This window comes from Homo sapiens, chromosome 5 (assembly GCF_000001405.40).
Source record: "Homo sapiens chromosome 5, GRCh38.p14 Primary Assembly".
Lineage (NCBI taxonomy): Eukaryota > Metazoa > Chordata > Mammalia > Primates > Hominidae > Homo > Homo sapiens.
This window is the reverse complement of record NC_000005.10, coordinates 73110414-73131813: the sequence shown is the minus strand read 5'-3', so window position 1 is coordinate 73131813 and position 21400 is coordinate 73110414. Positions and strand designations below refer to the sequence as shown.

Genomic DNA, 21400 nt, shown 5'->3' with positions numbered 1-21400 from the left:
CCAATGCTATTGTATTTTTTATTTAAAAAAAATTAAATAAAATAGTGATCCATTGCATATAAAACTGAACTAGAGTCCATAGTTTACGGTGGGGAAGGCTCAGAAGATAGAGGCAAGAATGTAGCTGCAGCATTTTCTTTTTCTTCATATCTAGGAGGCAATTCAGATGGAAGATGTGGAGTGTGTGAGGCCTCAGAAGATGAATTCGTCCCAGAAATGGTATATATAGATTCACAGTCTCTTTCAGAGGCTGCACCCTCTGAAGTTGGGGTCCTGCTAAAGAGAAGGAGAGAGAACATGAAGGGGAGGGGATGAAAACAGTGACACCCCTTTAGTACTAGGTTCTTTTCAAATGTTTGATTACATGCACTTAAGAGTATTTGCAAGAATCTGAGGAGTAATTTCTCCCTCACTCTACTTTTCATAGATTTGTTTTGATTTCTTACCTCTTCCTTTTCCTAGAGCTGAGTGTAACATTAAGACAGTCTCACTCCTGCTGTCATTCCCTTTGTCATTGAAAAGACATTGAAAACAAATTTACAGACACCATCCAAAGAGAACATAGACACACACACACACACACACACACTTACTGTTCTCTGCTATTCTGTCTTCTGGGACAGCTAACATAAGGTAGACAAACTTTTGCATATGGAAAATTAAAACATTAAGCCACAAACCTGAAGGACGGCAGGAAGGCATATTGGCTAATGGAGTGGGCTCTAACAAAGGCCAACCTGCACTGGAATCTACTCTGCTGCTTCCCAGCTGTGTGATCTTGGGCAAGTTAGTTAACATTGCTAAAGCTCAGTTTCCTTATCTTGAAATGAAGATGATAACATTCCTTTCTCCTAGACTGGATATGGGAGTTACATAAACTAATGCAAGAAAAGCCAGACCCTAGGACACAGAAATCATAGTAGCAGCAGCAGTAGTTTAAGTTACTAGACACTGATTTTAGGGTTTGGGGAAGTTTATCATTAGAAGAAAAAAAATACAAACATTCACGATGAGAATTCTACAGAGGTCCAGCCCTAGCCTGCCCTTTCTCCATGCAGGGCCGTTCCCACATGCACCTCCCTGGATCCCCCCATCACGACCCCATATGAAGCTGTAAAGCCAATTCTGTCCTTGTCAGCCACCTCTTTCCCTCTCCCATCAGATAACCTGTCCCCCTGCTTTTGTGGGAAAAGAATCTCTACACAACTTCATTCCCTCCAGGCCCCAGAGAAAAGGCACCCTGGCCCCTGCTCCAAGGCCCACTGCCTGCTCTGTCAAGGCAGGGTGGAGAGGGAGTTCCTTAAACACGAATAACAAGGTAAGGTGGTGCTATCCCCAGCAATGAGCACCAGTCTCTCTGTGCCTGCTGCTCACTGCATGCAAAAATGCACATATCTCATTGTCTTACCTGCTTCACCCTGTGACAATGTGAAGCAATTCTTCCTTCCCTTCCTAAACCCTGGTTTCCCATTCTAGAAGGTACCACCAGAGCCTTCTCCAGCCCTGCTCCCTGAGCACACCATTTCTGGGGTATGCACAAGCCCCTCCTGGGGGTCTCCCACTAGTCCCTGACTCTTTGCCCTTCTGGTTCTCCAACAACCTCTGCAGCTCCATCTCCATCACCTCCTCTCTCTCCCAAAACCCAGCCCTTCCCAGTCTGCCTCCAAGGCCCTCATCTCACTGTACCGCCACCATCAGCCGCCCACCATCCTTTCCCCACCGAAACCAAGCTCATCACTCACGTCTTCTCAGTTGGGGACCTCTGAGCTTCCCTGTCACTCACCCTGGAACTCATCATCTTCGCCTCTTCCTCAATGTCATTCTCCATCCAGACCCCCTCCCCCAGGCTCCTGGCACCTCAGGCCCGTCCCACTAGAGCCTGCCTCGCTGCATTCTGTGTGGGGTGGGTATTGACCTGATATTCTCTGCGGCCCAGGGAAGGAGCGAATATTGAAGGAGAGGCCCAGTTGTGTTGGATCGGGGCTCAGGCTGACTTTAGCCAGTCACCCAAGCACGGCCATCAGAGTACTAAAGCCCTTCTGTAACTGTTGGGGATCCCCTGAGACCCTCACACCTCTCCATGATCTAAAGCAGTGAAGCCTAGCATAGCAGGGGCCTCCTGGCCCAGTCCTGGTGCTCAGTCTGATTGGTGGGTCATTAAACATTCTTTTTTTTCCCCCTGAGATAGAGTCTCTCTCTGTTGCCCAGGCTGGAGTGCAGTGGCGCGATCTCGGCTTGGAGCAGAAGAATAGGGTGTGGAGGCAGGGAATCTACGGCCGTTTCACGCTGACTTCCTAGAACTAAATTGAAAGGAAAACCCTAACTTTCCACCCCTGAGTAACAAAAGGACCAAAGACTACTCCCTTTGCAAACACCCACCTTTCGGCAGATGGGAAATTGAAAGTGCCTCTAATTGGTTGCTTTTTGCAACCAATCAGACATTTGCATAGGACAACAACTTTGTAACTTCACTTCAGCCTCTGATTGGCTGCTTTCTGCAACCAATCAGACGGATTGTGGGCCACCACTTCATTTACATGAGGTGAACACAAAGTGGCCAATGGGAAACCTCTAGGGGTGATTTGGACCCAAGAAGATTCTGGAACTGGGCCCTTGAGCAGCTGTTCAGGCTTGCTCCCACCCTGTGGAGTGTACTTCCATTTTCAATAAAATTTTGCTTTTGTTGCTTCATTCTTTCCTTGCTTCGTTTGTGCATTTTGTCCAGTTCTTTGTTCAAAACACAAAGTACGTGGACACCCTCCGCCGGTAACAGGCTCACTGCAACCTCTGTCTCTTGCGTTCAATCGATCCTCATGCCTCAGCCTCCCGAGTAGCTAGGATTACAGGTGCCTACCACCATCCCCAGCTAATTCTTCTATTTTTCGTAGAGACAGGGTTTTGCCACGTTGGCCAGGCTGGTCTCAAACTCCTAAGCTCAAGTGATCCACTCACCTTGGCCTCTCAAAATGCTGGGATTACAGGTGTGAGCCACAGCACCCGGCAAGGGTTGTTAAACATTCTGAGTATCACCCCTGTTAGGAGCACATAAAGATAGATGCCTGGAGTAGGCTTCATATTAACCCAGCATGATCACTTTATCATTTTTAACTTATGTGCTGCCCAAATTTCGGCAAAGGTACTGTTAATATCAAGACACTAATTCTGACATAACATCAGCAAAAAAGATACTCACACTTGAATGCCTCCTGGTGAACCACACAGCCTTAATACTAGTGTGGCCTGAATTCAGGCCTCTCTTGAAGTTCAAATTGAAATTCTTACCCATAGTTGAAAATACTGTAATATGAAGGGGGGTTTTCATTCGGAAGCAGACTGTTAGTTCCAGGACTCTCAGCGACCGCAGAAGCTGAAGATTCAGGAAAGTAAGGTGGTGGAGGGGGTGGAAATATTATTACCGAGTCACCTAAGGCAAAACAATATTTAGTTGACAACAGGTGGGTAATAAATGGAAGCAAATTAGCAAAAGCAAAATTAATTATATATTTGGCCCATCTATATAAAAGGTCAACACACCTGCTGCTAACTCCAAAATTTAAAAGTAAGCCCATTAAATGTATAGAGATAGAAAAGTAGACTAGGTTACCAGGGGCTAGGAGGGGTTCGGGAGGAGGAAGGGAGTGGGAATTGCTGTTTGGTGAGTACAGAGTTGCTGTTGGGGATAATGGAAGAGTTCCAGAAATTGATGATGATAATGGTTGAACAACATTGTGACTGTATTCAATGCCACTAAACCATTTAAAAACGGTTTGGCTGGGTGCAGTGGCTCACACCTATAATCCCACCACTTCGGGAAGCTGAGGAGGAAGGATCGCTTGAGCCCAGGAGTTGGAGACCAGCCTGGGCAACACAGCGCTATCTCATCTCAAAAAAATTAAAAGAAAAAATTTAGCCAGATGTGGGAGTACACGCCTGCAGTCCCAGCTACTCGGAAGGCTGAGATAGGAGGACTGCTTGAGCCCAGGAGTTCTAGGCTGCAGTGAACTATGATTGTACCACTGCACTCCAGCCTGGGTGACAGAGCAAGACCCTGTCTTAAAAAAAAAAAAAAAGCCAGGCGTGGTGGCTCACGCCTGTAATCCCAGCATTTTGGAAGGCCGAAGCGGGTGGATCACTTGAGGTCAGGAGTTCAAGACCAGCCTGGCCAACACGGCGAAACCCTGTCTCTACTAAAAATACAAAGAAAAAACAATCAGGCAGGCGTGGTGGCAGGCGCCTGTAATCCCAGCTATTCGGGAGGCTGAGGCAGGAGAATTGCTTGAACCCGGGAGGCAGAGGTTGTGGTGAGCCAGGATCATGCCACTGCACTCCAGCCTGGGTGACAGAGTGAGATTCTGTTTCAAAACAAAACAAAACGAAACAAAAAGCAGTTTAAATTGTTTATGCTTTATATATATATATATATATATATTTTTTTTTTTTTTTTACCACAAATTTTTTAAAAGTAGGCCTACATTTCAGAATCCAGAGTGCTGACAATTATGGTATGAAAGCAGGTCTATATTTTGTAGCAAGTCTAAGACCAAGCCTTTTTGTGAATTGTTTGCTAACAAGCTCCTTTCCCTCCTCTGGGGTGTCTACTGCTGAAAAAGCTTTTCTCGTTTTCAGCCTACAACTTTAATTCACAAGTTAGCTGTTGGCTAAAGTGCCTTGTTCCTCAAATGTAGTTTCAGCCCCTGAGCAAATGACAGTAAGCCATATTACAGCCCCTAACTGTTATTTACCAAAATTTCACCCATACAGATGAAGGTTGAACCCAAAGAAGTTTGGTTTTTGCATTTCTGTGGCTACTGTTCACTCCAGAATACATCCTCATGTTTTGAGGAGAAACTAGGGACCAGATGCAAACTCTAATTTGTATTCCGATTCCAATATAAAATGCACCACACAAGTGGACCAGAACAGTGTAGAGCTCTGGCAGCACCACTGCTGGGGGCCTGGTGAAAGCCTCTGAGAAGCTGGCAATAGCAATAACAGTTCAGAAAAAATGAAGAAGATGGGGCTTTACTTCCCTGTAGTGGTTCACACTCCTAGCATGTCTGATGCTTGCTTAGGGTGGCATAGGATTCTTTAAAGTGATGGGGGTTCCAACCTGAACAAGCTAGGCGACCTCCTTGACCTCAGCCGCCACAGCTGTAAACTGCAGGCCAGGCAGTTCTTGCATCACAGGACAGATAGAAGGAAGGACTAGATGGACTGATTTGCATCTGGCAGTGAACACAGTGCGGAGCACAGAGCCAACTCTCTCAGCTCAACACCAGCCGAGGGCACTGATTTGCATGATGAAGAAACACCACAGAGGCAATTGGCCACTGGCTCCACTCTCTACCCTTCATGAGCCACAGCAGCCTCAATCATTTCCCAGAGGGAATTTAGCCCTTCAGAAAATGCATTAATTCCATCTCCCCTTCCTTCTCCAAGGAGAAGGCAATGAGAGTTTAAAATACGTTTTGCTAATCTAAAGGTGAGAAAGCATAATAGCGGTCCTGAGATTCTCATTTACTTTTTTAGAAGGTCTTGGTAGGTTAGAGGAATTGGGGTTGTGTTCACTTCCATTACACACTGTAGAATAAAGAACCTGTGAAGTAACCCTTGAGGGCAGGCCAATCACCTCTCAAAAACACACAAGGATATGCTCCAGTAACCCTGTTACCTCCAAGGGTCTCCAGCCCTTTGGCCCAGCAGCTCCGCCTGCCCACACCCTGCAACCTGCTCTCCCTGGAAAGAGGCCTCTCCTCTGCGAGTTCCCTTTCATGCGTCTTTCAGAACTTGATGTCCTCTGTGAGCAGACAACATATACACCCCTCCAAGGAGAGCTGTCTCATATACCTGCTGTGTATCCAGGATAGCACTGAGTGTACCCACAACAAGGAGAGCATGCTTCTTGGATTCTAAAAATGTAAACCCTATTCCACAATATCAAAGGAGAGGAATTAGGATGCAAGATTTTCATAGGTTTGATGGGGACTTAAAGAGTTAAGTAGAAAAGATTTTAAACCATGCAGTGCCAACTTCAGGACAAGGACACCAGGAGCAGCACCACAGCTCTGTCCACTCTGATTCCAGCTACCAGGTGGAAGGCTGGGCCCCAAAACTCCCCTCGAACCGTTCCCAACTAGATGAAAGCATAGCAGCGTTGGATGAACATATTTACTTGTACCCCACGGTGTTCCTCAAGAACACTAAGAACATCTATCAAATTAAAGGGAGCCCCTTTTTTCATGTAATAACTTCCAGGAACACTTGGTGAAGGATAAAATGGAATCACACCCACGTGCCCTGGGCAGGGTGCTATGCAAGGGCTATTCTGTGGGTGTGCCCAGACACTTGGGTTGGAACCTTGCTCTACCACTTGCTAGGGTGTGACCTTAGGCAAGTCACTTGATATCTACATGCCTCATCTTCTTCCTGTGTAACATGGAGGTACTAACGTTATCTGCCCCCTTGGATTGCTGTAGGTGTGAATGAATTTCACACAGGGGACCTTTAAGAGCACATGATAAAGCACTTAAATGGGTGTTTGGCACAAAAATAGACCCTATATAAGTGTTAGCTATTGTGAATATATAACTAATATTTGTGTTGTCACCATAAATATATTAATGCATAAATATATTAATAAATAAGCTGGGAGCATCTACCCTGGCTCTACACAAGGAATGGCTGCAGATCCATCTGCCCCTCCTCTCCAAGGCTGGTGCCATGCAAGTCCAGCAACCCAGTTCCTCCCCTCCAGGCTGCAGTCAGTGAATTCCACTGCTTCCAGTAGACAGCCCCAAACAGGAGATGCATCTCACTTGTCACATTCCCTCTCTGTCCTCTCCATGGTTTCTGTTCTGAAGATCTCTTTTCCTAGCCTTTTAAATGTCAGTGGTTTCACAACTTTACTCTTTCAAAAGTAGGAGACTGAAAAAAAGTGATCTGCCAATGAACAGCGATGGGGTTTTTCCTTGGTTGTGTGAAGCTGAGGCCAACGCTACTGCTATTGTTCTGAGGGGGCAGGCTCTGGGAAATGGCACTCCATCTCTTCTGTAGAACCCGGGGGACCCAAAAGGAACTTGTAGGCATTCCACGGGAGAAAGGTGCTGTCATATTCCATCTTGGTTCATCCCGCTGCTTCCAAGCTTTGCCTCAGCCCTGCAGCCACGGATGATGTCACAAAAAAAGAAGGACAACACAGAGACAGTGCAGAGGCCCCTCAAAACACCTGGAGACTGCTGGACTCAGACAGATCCAGAATCCTAGAATGTTAGTGCTGCAGGAATCTTAGAGAGGCACTGCTCATTTTATAGAGACATAAACCAAGGCAGGAGAGGTTAAGGACTTACAAGGACAGCCAGCTAGTGACAGCCTGGGAGGAGAAACCAAGTGTCCCACAACTAAAATGCTATGTGGTTTTGGTGTGAGAATAACAGGGGTAACAGGGTCACTTAGTGAGTCCCTAAGGTGGCAGAAGGCTCCAAGGCTGTCCTCATGGTTCTTCTCACTTTCCTCTTAATTTGCTCTGTGACCTCAGTCAAGGTCACTACTTAATATCCCAATGCTTTGCAAAGTAGGAAAGAGTTGCTGGGGGGGAAAAGATGTATACAAGGTTCCTACGGGGCTTCCCACAGCAGCACCATTGTGTATGTACACATGATGGGGGTGTGTGCGTGTGCACACACATGTGTGAGAGATGGAAGAATTGAGAAAGAGAATCCAGACGAGAACCAAGAGCAGCTGGTGAAACCCTGCTGCAAAGCCACTGTGATAGAAGCAAGAACGCAAATAACAGCAACCCACCTACAGTGACCTGGACAGGCTCCATAATCTGGATCTGTCCCTCTTCTCTCTCAGAGGCATCCTGGCCAGCATTCAGCGTGTTTCTCTTCTTAACATGGGCAACCACGAAGAAACACAATCCCACAAGCACAATCAAGGGCCCCATGATCTGCAGAGAAAGGAACCCACACATCCGGGGCTCTGAGTCGCCAGTGTCTGTCTCGTTTAGCGGTTCCTGCGCCCAGTTGGAGCCACATCCAGGGACCCAAATGCCCAGGACGCTGATGAGCATGCCGCTTGTCAAGAACAGAAACCCAAAGATAAGGCACTGGGCAAACTGGCGGCTCTCTCCACAGATGAAGGCTCGGTCGGGGTCCATCTGCTGACCTCTCTGCAGCCCTGCACGGAGCTGAAGTTGCGCCCGGGAGCGGGCCAGGATCACAGCCCCAAGCCCAACCACGGCACATGCAGGCCCCGCCACCTTGAGCACCATGGGGCAGTCTGGGAGGGGCTTATATTGGCATGCCTGGAACCCAAAGATGGAGAGCAGGACTCCCACACACAACAAGACGGCGCCGAAGACAAAGAAGCAGAAGATGAGTTTGCTGACGTGTCTGTCCTGCTGGTCCCCATCTGGCTCAGCAGCAGCTGCAGGAGACATGTCCAGGAGAGGCCCCTTCCCGGAGGCAGGGTGGGATGTGTTTTCTTCCCTCCAAGATTTCAGCAGCTCTGCAAACACAACCAAACACCAAATTAACGTGGGCACAGGTGTTCCAGAACCACCCTGGTTTTTTGCTGATCATTTCTGAAATCACACCACAATGAGGCCTTGGGGGTAGAACTTTATACAACTGATAAGCTGTAGAACAATGAGTTGGTTTATGAGTCAGATAAACTAGCATTCAGAAACTCCTAAATATGTAATTTTACAAGATATTCAAAACAGGAAATTAAATTACTACACATCTAAGGGTATCTTTTTTAAAAACTGAAAGAACAAAAGTAGCTGGGTGTGGCATTTCCTTTTCTGAGTCTTACAAACTCATTTCCCTGGGGAAAAAAGCACTGGTGAATGAGGGAAGAACCACAGGGATTCTTTCTGATTGCAAATGCCCCACTTTTCATCATAGCTGCTCTCAGCATTTTCAAGTCAGTTCAGTAACTAACTTTCCATTTCCTGTTTTAGACTACAGCAGCTTTCCATTTCATGTTTTATTCTAAGGCTACATCTACAAAAGACCCAATTTCAGCAATTTCAATAGAATAAGAAGTCTGTTCAGGAACACAGTGGGTTTGGTGGACTTTTAAGTTGATTCTATCAAAATGTGGTTCTTGAGGCCAGGCGTGGTGGCTTGCGCCTGTAATCCCAGCACTTTGGGAGGCAGAGGCAGGCAGATTGCTTGAGCTCAGGAGTTCGAGACCAGCCTGGGTGACATAGCAAAACCCCATCTCTGCTAAAAATACAAACTTTAGCCAGGCATGGTGCCTGTGGTCCCAGCTACTTGGTAGGCTGAGGTGGGAGGATTGCTTGAGCCCAGGAGCTGGAGGTTGCAGTGAGCCAAGATCACGCCACTACTCTCCAGCCTGGGCAACAGAGTGAGACCCTGCCAAAAACAAAACAAAACAAAACAAAATGGTTCTTGGGTTCTCAACAAGCACAGACTGGTGACCCAGTTGCTTGGATCTGGGATGACCCTGGAAAGTGTTGCACAGCAGGTCAACAGGAGCTCAATTTTCAGAGTGGACAGGTACCCAAAGGCTGGTGTGGCCTCTCACTCACCCTCCTCCATGGTGTCACCTACTTCCACAAAGAGGTTGAGACTCAGTTAAAAAACAAGCAGCCAATAAAACTGCTAGTTATAAAGCACAAAATGGGTGGAAGGGGGGAACTTGGCTTTGAAAGAATAGTATAAGTGGAATCAAGTGAGAAAGCACCTTCCAGAAAATCACCCAAGCCCTGTACTTCAGGGGTATAATATATTAAATATGCCAAGTGGTTGTTAAAGAGTTGTCTAGCTTACACAGAGCTGACCTAATTATCTCGTTATCTTATTTTACTCCAATGAATGGGATATTTTACCAGGACCCCGTAAGTCAGGTCCTGCAATTGCAAAGACAATCCAAAATCGTGAAGACTATTTTCACCTGCCCAAGGAAAGAAAACTTTTAAAATATTTTGTGCCGCTCACATCCATGGTCCCATGAAGGAACTCAAGACTGAGGCCCTAAGCCCAAGATGATCTTGACAAACCAAAATCACACTGAGGGAAGGTCAGTTTAGGTAAAGAAAGCAAACAGGCAATCTTACACTGGGAAAAACTTTTCCAGGAAAAAGTATGATAGAATCAGAAGGAAGTTGGAGAAAAAAAGGAAATATAGGAGGGAAAAAAGCTTTCATTTCAAACTTGGAAAAACTTGATATACAGATGCAGTTAAGCTGAGACAAAGCATTGCACTAATTTTTTAATCTTCCCATTTTTTATTAAGTCAGTAACATCCTGCAGTGAATAAGAATTTCATATTGAGTATACAGTAGTCCTCATTTATCCTACAGGGAGTACATTCCAAAACTCTCAGTGGAATGAAACGATGGAGAGTCCTGAAACCTATATATATTGGTTTTTTGTTATTGTTGTTGTTTTAATTTTTTTCCTGAATCATGCAATCTCTTTTGCGGTTTCGGAGACAAGAAAGAGAAGGGTGATTCTCGGCTGCAAAGTCCTATCAGGAATTCATTTATTCCCAGTATAGTCAACTTTGCAGTGAGTCACAAGGCTTCAACTGTCTTAAGGCAAATTCCCAAACACCAGTAAATAGAAGCCCAAAACTGAATCTGTAGTTTCTTGTCCGTGGACTAGTGGACGGAGCACCTGGCTGAGTGTTCACCTCTGATCCATAATAGTGTGGAAATACTCTCTCTCTCTCCTTCTCCCACAGATGCACTCACAAACGGATACAAAGACACCCACATTCACTCGCAATGAAACCTTTTCCAAACACCACCCTACACTTAAACTCCCCAAAGCCAAACTCCCCTCTCCAACACTCCTATTGGTTTTCCAAAAGACATTTCCAAAATTCACAGCACCTCTCCACGTCCAAAGCTATGGTGCGTTTGGGGAACGAAACGAGAGGCAAATGCCTTCTGTGCGAAATCGGTTTGCGGCTTTTAGGGAGCCCGAGCGCAAGCAACAGCCGGAGGGGCTCGCAGGGACGCAGGTTGGGCTCGGATACCCAGCGCCTCCGCGCTGCCGCGGCTCCCCGCGCCCAGCCTGGCCGCACAGCTCAGCGCCCGACCCGCCGCCGCCGGCGCAGGCGCGCGGGCCGGGGCAGCTTACCTGAAGCTGGGTCCGGCGCCTGGCTGACCGCGCTGCTGTGGGCACTGGCTGGGCGCGGCGTCCGCCTCCGCACGCGGCCTCGGCTGCGCCGGCCGCCCTGCACCCTACCCACCGCGCGTCCTGGTGCGGAGGGCGGACCCGGCAGTATTTAGAGAAGGAGGCGGTGCTGCGCGGGCGCGGCGGCCCGGGGAGGGCAGGGCAGGGCAGTGCAGGAGCGACCGGTGGGAGCTGGCCGCCACTGGGGGCCCGGGGCGCGCCCGCGAGGGAATGGAGAGCCAGGGGCGGCTTCGGAACCCAGGGCTGGCGGGTTTGGCAGCCTCCGCGCTCGTGGCCGTGCGCGCGAGGAATCTGGGAGAAATGGGCACCTTCCACGGCTGCCTGGCCCGCACACCTGGCGGGGCCGGCGAGTTGAGATGCCCCCGCCGGCTGGCGGAACTGTGCGCCCCGCCCGCCGAGGCCCGCTCCCCCTCGAGGCCTGAGGCCCAGTTCTATAGGGGCGCGAGAGAGCGGCGGCGTGGGGGGCGCGGAGGAAGCGCCGGCCCCCGCCTCCACCGCCTCCTTCGTGGTTGCGGCCCAGGCCGAACAGGGTACCGTGCCCCGGCCGCCTTGGCCTTGGCCACCGCGAGGTCCGGGGCGACTACACCCAGCAGCCCTGTGGCCCTCCTACTGCTCTGGAGACCTGGAGTGGGGTTACAGAGGGAAGCGACTCGCTGCGAGCTCCCCATCGAATATGGAGCCACCAGGTCACGGGACGACGTGCGCTCTACAGAATGTGAGACAAGGGCCCTCCACACCCAGCCATTCAGGCCTGAGGTCCTGGCTCCGAGACTGAGGCCGAGACGCGGCAAGCCCCGCGCCGGACCAGCTCTGCCCCTCCCGCACCCACGTGTCTGCGCACAGCCCTCCTTTGCGATAGAACCCCCTTCCTGGTTCTCCACCACTAATGATCTGCCGGAATTAAACTGGTAACTTTCCCTGCCCTTGAACCGGGAGTTTCGGGATGAGTTTGCCAATCCCTGTGCTATTTGTAACCAGCCCCGTGACACGTGATACGGATCCAACTGTGCTAGTTTCCACACCAGGGGTCAGGGCACGGTGGAAGGTGAGTCAAGGGTTCTCTGCCCAAGCGCAGAGGTGCCCTGAGCCACGGGGACTTCCCAGCCCTGCCTTCTCTTCTCAGCTTCCTGTCTGCCTTGCCTGAAACCCTATCTAGAGTTAAGGCCAATGGATGAAACTTTTCAATGTGCAAGCAAGCACTTTACCTACCTGATACAACAAGAGATTCCTGGTCATGCTCACTGAAGGTAAAGTATGAAGCAGGCTTAGCTAATCATCAGAGGTGAGAAGAGACTTAAAGAACCAGTCAGAGAGGTAAAGAGGGGAGGGGGTTACCTGGGCTTTAGGGTTCACCAGGGAGGCAGAACGGACAAGTTCTTGCCATTGGAATTTGGTGGGGCACTTGCCTGGGTGGCCAAAGGTGGACTTTTTCATAGCCAGGGTGCCCGACCTCTGTAAATCCCCGCCATAACTAACAGCCCTGATTACTGTCGAAATGAACAATGCCAACACTCACGACCCCTTGCTTTGTGGTTCTTTGCTACATCTCTCCAGCAGTTCAGAAAAGGTTGGAGGCAGCAGGGGACAGGAGACTGAGAAAAACAGTCATTTGTCAGTTGAGGAAACTGAGGTCCAGGCTGACAGAGGTAAAGTAACCTCTGCAGCTGGTTGACATGCAGAGAAGGCCTGAGCCAGATGCAGATGCGCTGACCATTCAGTGTTTCTCCCGCAGCACACCTGTCACTCAGAGAACACACCATGCTGTGAACCCAGAAAACGCCCTCATGGCCTTGTGATGCCAAGCACGTTTAGATTATTATAACAATACAGGCACTGTGTCCCAAGGACATTGCAGTAATCTATGTTTGGGGTGGAGATATCCTTCCTGGTCCAAGTGTCAAGGTATACCACCTTCTGGAAGGGCACCAAAGCATGTCCAGCGAATGGGCAGATACCCAAGAGTGGATTGTACAACAGCAGGCACTGGCTTTCTAAGAACTCAGGCCCTCATTATAGGATTTGTCCCCTCTGACACAGGCCTGTGAACAACTCTTCATTGTGCAAAAGGGTTTCCTTGTCCTTTCCCTACTCATTCTTCCCTTCCCCCTTATTTGAAACTGAATCTCTGGCCATGTCATGTGCAGGCCTGCAAGGGGCCTGTTGATACAGCTGCCCCTCTGGTGCCACATGACTGCAGGCTCACCACCCATGACAGACTTGAATATCCTGGCACCAAGGACAATCAGATTAGCCTCCACTTGGTATATCTGCTGTTCTCACTGTTTGTGTCTATGAGAGCCTGTTTGACTAAATTAAACTCCTTGGAAATTGATCATCGATTATGTATGAAAGACATACCCACCAGCCTTTGAGGTACTTATCTTTGTAGCCCACCTAGCCTTAGGAGAGAAGCTGCGTGGCCTGGTCACTATCTAGTGGTCTTCCCTGGCCTGTGTGGTAGTGAAAAAGATAAAAGCCAGACCGAATCCTTAGAAAAACAGCATCAGAACAAGATTAAAAACCTCGAATTCAGTGACTGTAGAAGCATAAAGCAGAGGCATGTGTTCATGTATTTAGCCAGCACAGATTTACCAACTACCAATAAAACACGGAACTTGTATTTTATTGAGGAGAAAGGCAATAAAATATGTAAGTTATACAGAGAATTAGAAAGTGATTGAGTGCCAGGGAGAACAATAAATCACAGATGGGGACTGGGGAGCACCCCATTTTAAATAGGGGAGTTAAGGAAGGCATCTCTGAGAAGGTGAGATTGCAGCAAAAACTTGAAGGGAATGAGGAAGCAAGTGTATCAATGATCTATTATTGCATAACAACTTACCCCAAAACTTTGAAGTTTGAAACAGCAAAAATGTATTCTCAGGGTTTCTGATCAGGGTCAGAAACTGCAAGTGGCTTAGCTGGGTACTTCTGGCTGAGCCTCTCAGAGGCTGCAGTCTAGCAGTTGGCCAGGGCTGTGGTCATCTGAAGGCTGGACTGGGGCTGGAGGATCTGCTGCCAAGGTGGCACATTCACAGGGCTATTGGCAGGAGGCCTCAGTTCCTCACTATGTGGATTTCTCCACCCAGCCTCCCCTCACGTGAGTGATCCAAGGGAGAGCAAACAAAGGGGAAGCTGTGGTGCCTTTTCTGACGAGGCTCTGCACTTCCATACCATCACTTCTCTTTATTCTGGTCCTTAGAATTGAGTCACAAAGTCAAGGGGAATGGGATTAGGTGCCACCTCTTGTAGGGAAGAGTAAGAATTTGTAAGCATAGTTCGTGATTTTTTGTGGGAAGTAGGGAAGAGTGCTTCAGGCAGAAGTAACCACAGGTGCAAAGGCCCTGAGGTAGGAACACACATATTAGCATATTCAAAGGAGAGCAAGAGGCCAGGGTGGCTGCAGTTGGTGAGCAAGGGGGAGAGTAGGAGAGGAGGTCAGAGAGGAAAGGCATGTGCAGGGCCAAGGGCACCAGGTTGTGCAGGGCCTTTAAGTAGGTGGGAAGCCTTTGAATGGTTTTTGAGCTGATGTGATGAGCTTTGACAGTGATGTGATCTGATTTCTTTTAAAAAAGAAATTGGTGGCTGTTGCAGTAAGAATAGCCCAAGGAGGAGCCAGGATGGATGGGAAGAGGCCAGTTAGGAGGCTGTGGTAACAACCCAGGAGTTATGTCTGTAGCTTGTGTATGAAGGTGATGAAAGGGATGAGACTTTGGATATATCTTGAAGATAGAGTCAATGGGATTTTCCATGAACCACATGTGGGTTTTGATTCCAAGGTTTTGGATCTGAGCAAGTGGAAGAATGGTTCTGGCATGAGCAAGATGGGGAATCCTAAGAGTGGGACAAGTTTGAGAGGAGGAGCTTCAGAGTCCATTTGGGGACATGTTAATTTTGTCCATTAGACATCCGAGTAGAGAAGCTGAGTAGGCAATTGAATATGGAGGCTTGGAGTTCAGGAATTCGGAAGGAATACTTTCCTGTGGTCTGTGAGTGACATTACAAAATTGAGGAGGCTGGGCTCCCTCTCTGGAAGAGTAACAATTAGTCCTTTGGAGGGTTCTAAACACACAAAGCAAGGGAGGGGCTGGTGCCAACCAAGTGCAGTTTTCAGATGTTTCTGGGGTGCAGAGCACAGCTAGTGCGGCTGGGAGGCATGAGTTTCACCCAGAGCAGGGGGCTTCTGCTGCTCTGTTCCCAAAACAGTGCCCTAAGGAACACATATCTTTCACTTCAACAAGACAGGCCACGTATTTCTTCCCAGGGCACTGCCAACCCTGAGAAGAAACTCAGGGCAAGTGGATTGACCTGCAGAATTCAGTGGCACCATTTTTCAGAATTCATAAGATGGCAGAAAGACAATCAGCTAATCAAGTCTGCCAACTTCTAGGTCTCTTTTCTCTTTTGGTCTCTTTCTAATTCTGCCCCAAATTAATCTTAGCACCCAGAAGCACACATTTCCCTGCTTCCAATTTCTGATGTTTTCTGAGCCCCAGCTGGGCTTGGTTTATAGGAATTTATTCTTGAGCGCTCAGTCTTGGGTCCATGTTTCAACACATATTTCCAGGACTCCCAATGACTCCTCTGAACCAACCTGGGCCCCATCCAGCTGTATAACCCTGAAAAGGGTGTACCAAAGTCCCTGGGATATTTTCCTCCTCCCTAACCCCCAGGTCGGACTTAGACCCAGGGGCTTCAGAGACATATCAGGAGTGCAAGTAGAGGCTGACTAATTTGGAAAGCTTGAATTAAGGGTTTAGACTGGCTCCCTTAGCTGATCCTAGTGCAAAGGCTAATCTTTTGCAGAGTCATTTTATGGCGTGAGATGGTGCTGTTGATTTTGCACAGTTAATAACAGCTCAGCCTGAGTGCTGCTAGCCTTAGCCAAGGGTGTAGAATGCAAGCAGTTGTTTCAGCGAAAGTAAGAATTTGCTGGGAGCACACTTGGCTTTTCTGAAGAGGCCTCTGCACTGCCAAGGGAGAAAGACCCCCCCTCAACAGTGGCCACAGCATCTGGTCTGTGGCTAGAGGAGACCAACGTGTTGATATTAAGAGTTCTTTGGAAAAGTACTGTCTCTTCACTCATTCACTGCTGACTGGATCCCAAAGAATGCACTGTCTCCCCAGCATGCAGAAAGGGGATGAATCAAACTGAGTTTAGATCCTGGCTTTGTCACTTACCAGCTGTGTGACCTGGGGCAAGTAAACATCTTTTCTGTATCTTAGTGTTCTCATCTGTAATGTGAGAATAACCAGACCTACCTCGAAGGATGTCTTGCTTGAAGAGTAAATATCTGGCACATGGAGAGTGATCAATAAATGGATTTCTCCTTAACTACTACTCGTCTAGCTACACTCATCTCATCTTCCACCTGTGGCTCAGGAAGCTTGAGCTGATGAATCCATGGAGACTGTAAAGAAATAGCAGGGGAGGTCGATCAGGGTGCTCACTGAGAGCAAACTGTGGCTCTGTTGATTTCTGATGCCCAGTTGGCAATGGTTGGAGTTCCCAGCCTGCCAGCTCAGCTGTTTCTCCCTATAGCGCATCTCTCAGTTATTTCTAGGAGTTCTTAAAGGTGTGCATCGCATCATCTCAAAAACCAGCCCGTCCAACTTGTGTTATCTGCCCTGTTGATCTACCTTTGTTTTCCCAAGGTCTGCAGCCTCCAAAGCTTCTGAAATGGGACTTGCTGCTGCTGGTATCTTTAGAGGGGCATGTGGTATCCTGCCAAGGGTGATTCCTTAGCCTGTCAGTGGCCCAGGGCTCAGGATTCTACCTGCCTCACATCTCCTGGATCCATCTGCATGTCTTGGCCCAATCTCCATATCCTCGGTTCTGGCCCCTCCACTACCTGGTTGCCACTGATGATTCCAAGGATTCAGATCAGCTCACAGTGCTCCAAAAATATAGCAAAGTGAAACAAATGTGCAAATAAATGATAAAAACAAAAGAAGAAAAAGAAAGAAAAGACTTATTGTATATCCTACCTCCTTCAAACAGCTTGCTGTGATGTGCATGGTGGTGTGGGAACCTTCTGATGTCATACATACAGGTAACTTACCTAGTTTTGGATCAGGCATGGAAACTTGTCTGAGACACTTGGAGATGACTCCCAAAATGGTCTGACCCAGAAATCCAGAAAGGGGCCATCTGACTGTCCCAGGGTGCTGTACATGGGGAACATGCCACCTGGCTGGGGATCCAGGGAGCAAGGGTCTTCCTGGGTGTGGCAGGTCATCTCCTCACAGTAACACACGAACACTTGACTTCTCCCACAAAAACTTCTGGCCTAAAAAATTAATCAATACTTATCTAAACACCTGAGAGCCGAGAGTCTTTGATAAATTAAAAGGCAGTTTGGCAGTAAGCCACCTCCTGAATGCCCCAGATTTTCATAAAAGGCCCTTTGTGGAAGCCACAGAATGCAGGTAAAGCTAGGATTTGAGGCGGTGCTGATTGAGAGAAGATAAAGAGAAAACTACTTTTTAGGGTTTTTTCTTTTTAACTTACCTCATGGGGTGTTTAAAGAATTGAATGAGTACAGAAAACAAGACTTGCTGTAATTTTGGTTGGATGTGATTCCAGGGGAAATATTTTTTCTTAAATGAAAATATAATAGCTAACCCCTACATAAAGCTTACTATGTGTTTTTAGGGGTTTACAAATGTATTCACTCCTTTGTGTTTCATAAGAACCCTGTGAAGTGAGTACTGCTGCTGCCCCACTGGACAGGTGCACAGGGAGGCTGGGCACTTGCTCCCTCACCTTGCCAGCCAGGGGCATTGCCGGATGGGAAGCGCCAGTTCTCTCTCCTCTCCAGCGGGTGTCTGTGTGCTCTGCCACAGCACCCATTCATTCTTTGCAGTTCCAGTTAAATGCCATTTCCCCAGTGAAGATGGGCCCTGGCTCCCCGTTCCCCCTTGTTATTTTCATACCTGGCGTTCTGGTGTTTTTCATTCAGGACACTTACCACAGCCATAGTTGTTTACTATTCCTTTCAGACCACTTCTTCCCCACCCTTTGCTGCTTATACTATGTGTCACCCTCTCCCCTTCCTGTCACTCTCATCATTGGCTTCCGTCTCTACCACTTCAAATCCTCCCTTAATCCTACATGCTTCCAACCTCCATGTGGTTGAGTGCTAGAGTTTGGGTGTTTTTATCCCCTCAAATCTCATGTTGAAATTTGATCCCCGGTGTTGGAGGTGGGGCCTAATGGGAAGTGTTTGGGTCGTGAGGGTGGATCCTTCATGATTAGATTAATGCTCCCCGGGGAAGATTAATAGTTCTAGCTCTATTAGTTTCCAAGAAAGCTGGTTGTTAACAAAAAGCCTGGAGGCCACATGGTGATCTGTACATACCAGGTTTCCTTCGCCTTCTGTCTTGATTGGAAACAGCCTGAAGCCCTCACCAGAAGCCAGAGGCAGATGCTGGTGCCATGCTTCTTGTACAGTCTGCAGAACTGTGAGCCAAATAAACCTCTTTTCTTTATAAATTACCCAGCCTCGGGTATTCCTTTATAGTAACACAAACACACTAAGACAATACCAATTCAGAATTCAGGCCTTCTCATCAACAAATCTTTCCTCTTCCAACCACCTCAGCCAACACCTCCTACCAGCTCACCCTGGACCAGGGACTACCTGAAACAGCCCCTTCTGCAAAAACAGGAATTGGAGCATCTCTTTCCATCTTGCTTTTCCAGCCATTCCTGCTACAACTGTCCTTCACTCTAACTAGACCCTTCACTTGTTCCAATTAACTATTTTTTCTTTACTTCTTTCTTGTGTAGTTTAGATTCTATGCTCTATCAATTCAGTAGCAGTCTCTCTGATAGACTTAAATTTCAAAGCCTGTGTCTTTGCATCATGCCATCTGGTAATGTTGCCATTACCTACTTTTCTGAGCCTGTCCTCAGTAGCTAAGTGCTACTGGTGAACGACCCAACTCTAAAATTGACTGCTATCTGTGTAAATCAATGTTCACTAAACTGAAGTGGGCCCTCAACAATGCCTGGCTACCCAACCCCATTTTGTTCCTAGGCTCACTTTCTGCATAACTGTTTTCAGCAGGTAGTCCCAAAGTCCAGTGAGCCTTTTTCCCTGCTCAGGTGACAGACACCCTTGATGGTTCTGATCCTTGCCTGGCCAGCATGGTTCTTCAGGGAAGACAACAAGCAAGGGTAAAGCAAGGGTAAATCCTTGGCCAAGCACACTCCCCCTATAGTGCCCCTGGCTTGGAGTCCCAGTGTTATAGCTCTTTAGTTTGCTCTTCAGTGCTTGATACCTGAAGCATACTTGCTTCCAGCCCAGGTCAGGGAGCTTCAAGTCTGTGCCAAAGCTGTGCCAAAGCTGAATCTCCCTTCATGGTGACTTTTCCCTGATATTGGACCCAGGTCAGTGTTCTAAGCTCACTTCACTTCTGATGAGTTCTTCCTTCAGGGCCCTAGATATTTCTTGCTAGAGACCTAAGTCTGAATTATCTCCATCCATCAGCATGGCTTAAAATAAGGATTGGTGAACTTATTCTGTAATAGGCTAGATAGCAAATATTTTAGGCCCTATAGGTCATTTGAGTTATTTGGTCTCTGTTGCAACTACTCACCTCTACCATCACAGCTAGAAAGCAGCCATAAACATAGACAATATAAACAAATGAGCATGGCTATGATTCAATACAACTTTACTTATGAACACCAATATTTGAATTTCATAGAATTTTCACGTCACAAAATATTCTTCTTTTAATTTTTTTCAGCCATTGAAAGTATAAGTTCTCCTATTCAAGTAGGTGTAGTTAGAAATAAACAAAATAAAGTCATTCTTAGTTCACTGGTCTTACAAAAACAGGAGGCAGCCAGATTTGGCCCTTGGGCTATAGCTTGCTCACTTCTGCAATACTAATTTGTTGAACTTAAAAAGAAATAGGGGGTAAATCTGGCAAGATGGTGGAGTAGAAAATACCAGGAATCTATCTCCCCACTTAGACAATGATTTGCTGGCAGAATCTGTTTGATGTAACTGTTTTATAACTCTGAAATCTATTGCAGGCTTAAAAACTTCCAGTGGAAGGTTGGGCAGTAAATTGCAGTTACTGTCAATCAGTTTTAGCTCTTAGCAGAGTAGTAACCATATCACCCATCCTTCACCTCCAGCCCATACACATTGTGGGAGTCTTAAAAGGAGAAGAGAGAAAAGCTAGAACTGTTGTAATGGTAGTTCGTACCTTCACTTTTTGTATTCTGCATGATTTAAGAGATTAATATATTAAAAAAATATTTGTTTAAAAGCTAGTATTATTGTAACTTTGGTTTGTAAATCCACATTTTATTTACTACATAATTGAAGAGATCAATGCATTTAAAAGATTTATTAGTTTATGCTTTTGTCACACAATGTGTGAATATGCAGTCTGTGACAACAACAACTGAAAGGGGTGGAGATAAAGCCATAAAGGAGCAGAGTCTTTGTGTGTTATTGAGGTTAAGCTTTTCTAAATTCAAATTAGTGTTATAACTTTAGGATGTTACATGTAATCCCCTTTACATTTAACTGCAAAGAGATAGGTATAGAATATACACAAAAGGAAATGAGAAAAGAATTTAAACAGCACTATGTTTTTAAAAAAAAAATCAATTAAACACAAAAGAGCAATGCAGGAAATAAGGGACAAAAAAAGCTGTAAGTCATATAAAAAAATGGCAGAATGACAGAAGTACGTCCCTTCTTATTAGTAATAACTTTAAATGTAAATGGATGAAACTCTCCAATGAAAAGACAGAGATGATTGGCAGGAAATATTTTTTTCTGAAAAACAACAACAATAACAGCAACAAAACCCATGATCCAACTACATGCTGTCTACAAGAGACTTGCTTTAGCTCCAAAGACACATATAGAATAAAAGTAAAACGATGGAAAAAGATATTGCATGCAAATAGTAAACAAAAGATAACACAGGTGACTATACTAATATCAGACAAAATAGATTTTAAATTGTAAAAATGGTTACAAGAGACAAGAAGGGCAATATAAATAAAAGTTTCAACACATTAAGAAACTAGAACAACTATAAACATTTACAACCTAATGACAGATCATCAAAATATATTCAGCAAAAACTGACAGAATCAAAGGGAGAAATAGAAAGTTGTAAAATAACAGTTGTAAACATCCATATCCCACTCTCAATAACAGACAGAACAACCAGACAAGTAAGATACACAA

General features: G+C 46.7%; 2 protein-coding genes across 4 annotated transcripts, besides 1 other annotated feature; one reads left to right on the top strand and one right to left on the bottom strand.

Moving 5' to 3' along the window:
* Positions 1-4: 4 nt before the first annotated feature.
* TMEM171 (transmembrane protein 171) lies at positions 5-11239 on the bottom strand. Of its 3 annotated transcripts, none has more exons than NM_173490.8 (4): positions 11118-11239; positions 7801-8508; positions 3283-3424; positions 5-276 (listed from the first exon to the last, which is right to left on the bottom strand). In NM_173490.8, the coding sequence occupies exons 2-4, from the start codon at positions 8438-8440 to the stop codon at positions 84-86; spliced, it is 975 nt and encodes a 324-aa protein (NP_775761.4). In that variant the 5' UTR covers positions 8441-8508; positions 11118-11239; the 3' UTR covers positions 5-83. The 3 variants fall into 3 exon arrangements, with proteins under 3 accessions (NP_775761.4, NP_001154814.1, XP_011541458.1); NM_001161342.3 differs by having other exon boundaries at positions 5-273; XM_011543156.2 differs by having other exon boundaries at positions 3283-3367.
* Positions 11240-11322: 83 nt separating this feature from the next.
* Positions 11323-18669, top strand: LOC124901001 (uncharacterized). Its single transcript, XM_047417978.1, has 2 exons — positions 11323-17227; positions 18539-18669. The coding sequence occupies exon 1, from the start codon at positions 11385-11387 to the stop codon at positions 12084-12086; it is 702 nt and encodes a 233-aa protein (XP_047273934.1). The 5' UTR covers positions 11323-11384; the 3' UTR covers positions 12087-17227; positions 18539-18669.
* Positions 11849-12400: an enhancer, noted in NCBI's record as "H3K27ac-H3K4me1 hESC enhancer chr5:72415241-72415792 (GRCh37/hg19 assembly coordinates)". NCBI's record gives its function as "activates a minimal SCP1, AML or CMV promoter by ChIP-STARR-seq in primed H9 embryonic stem cells {active_cell/tissue: H9 hESC(primed)}" and the evidence as "EXISTENCE:reporter gene assay evidence [ECO:0000049][PMID:30033119]".
* Positions 18670-21400: the final 2731 nt, after the last annotated feature.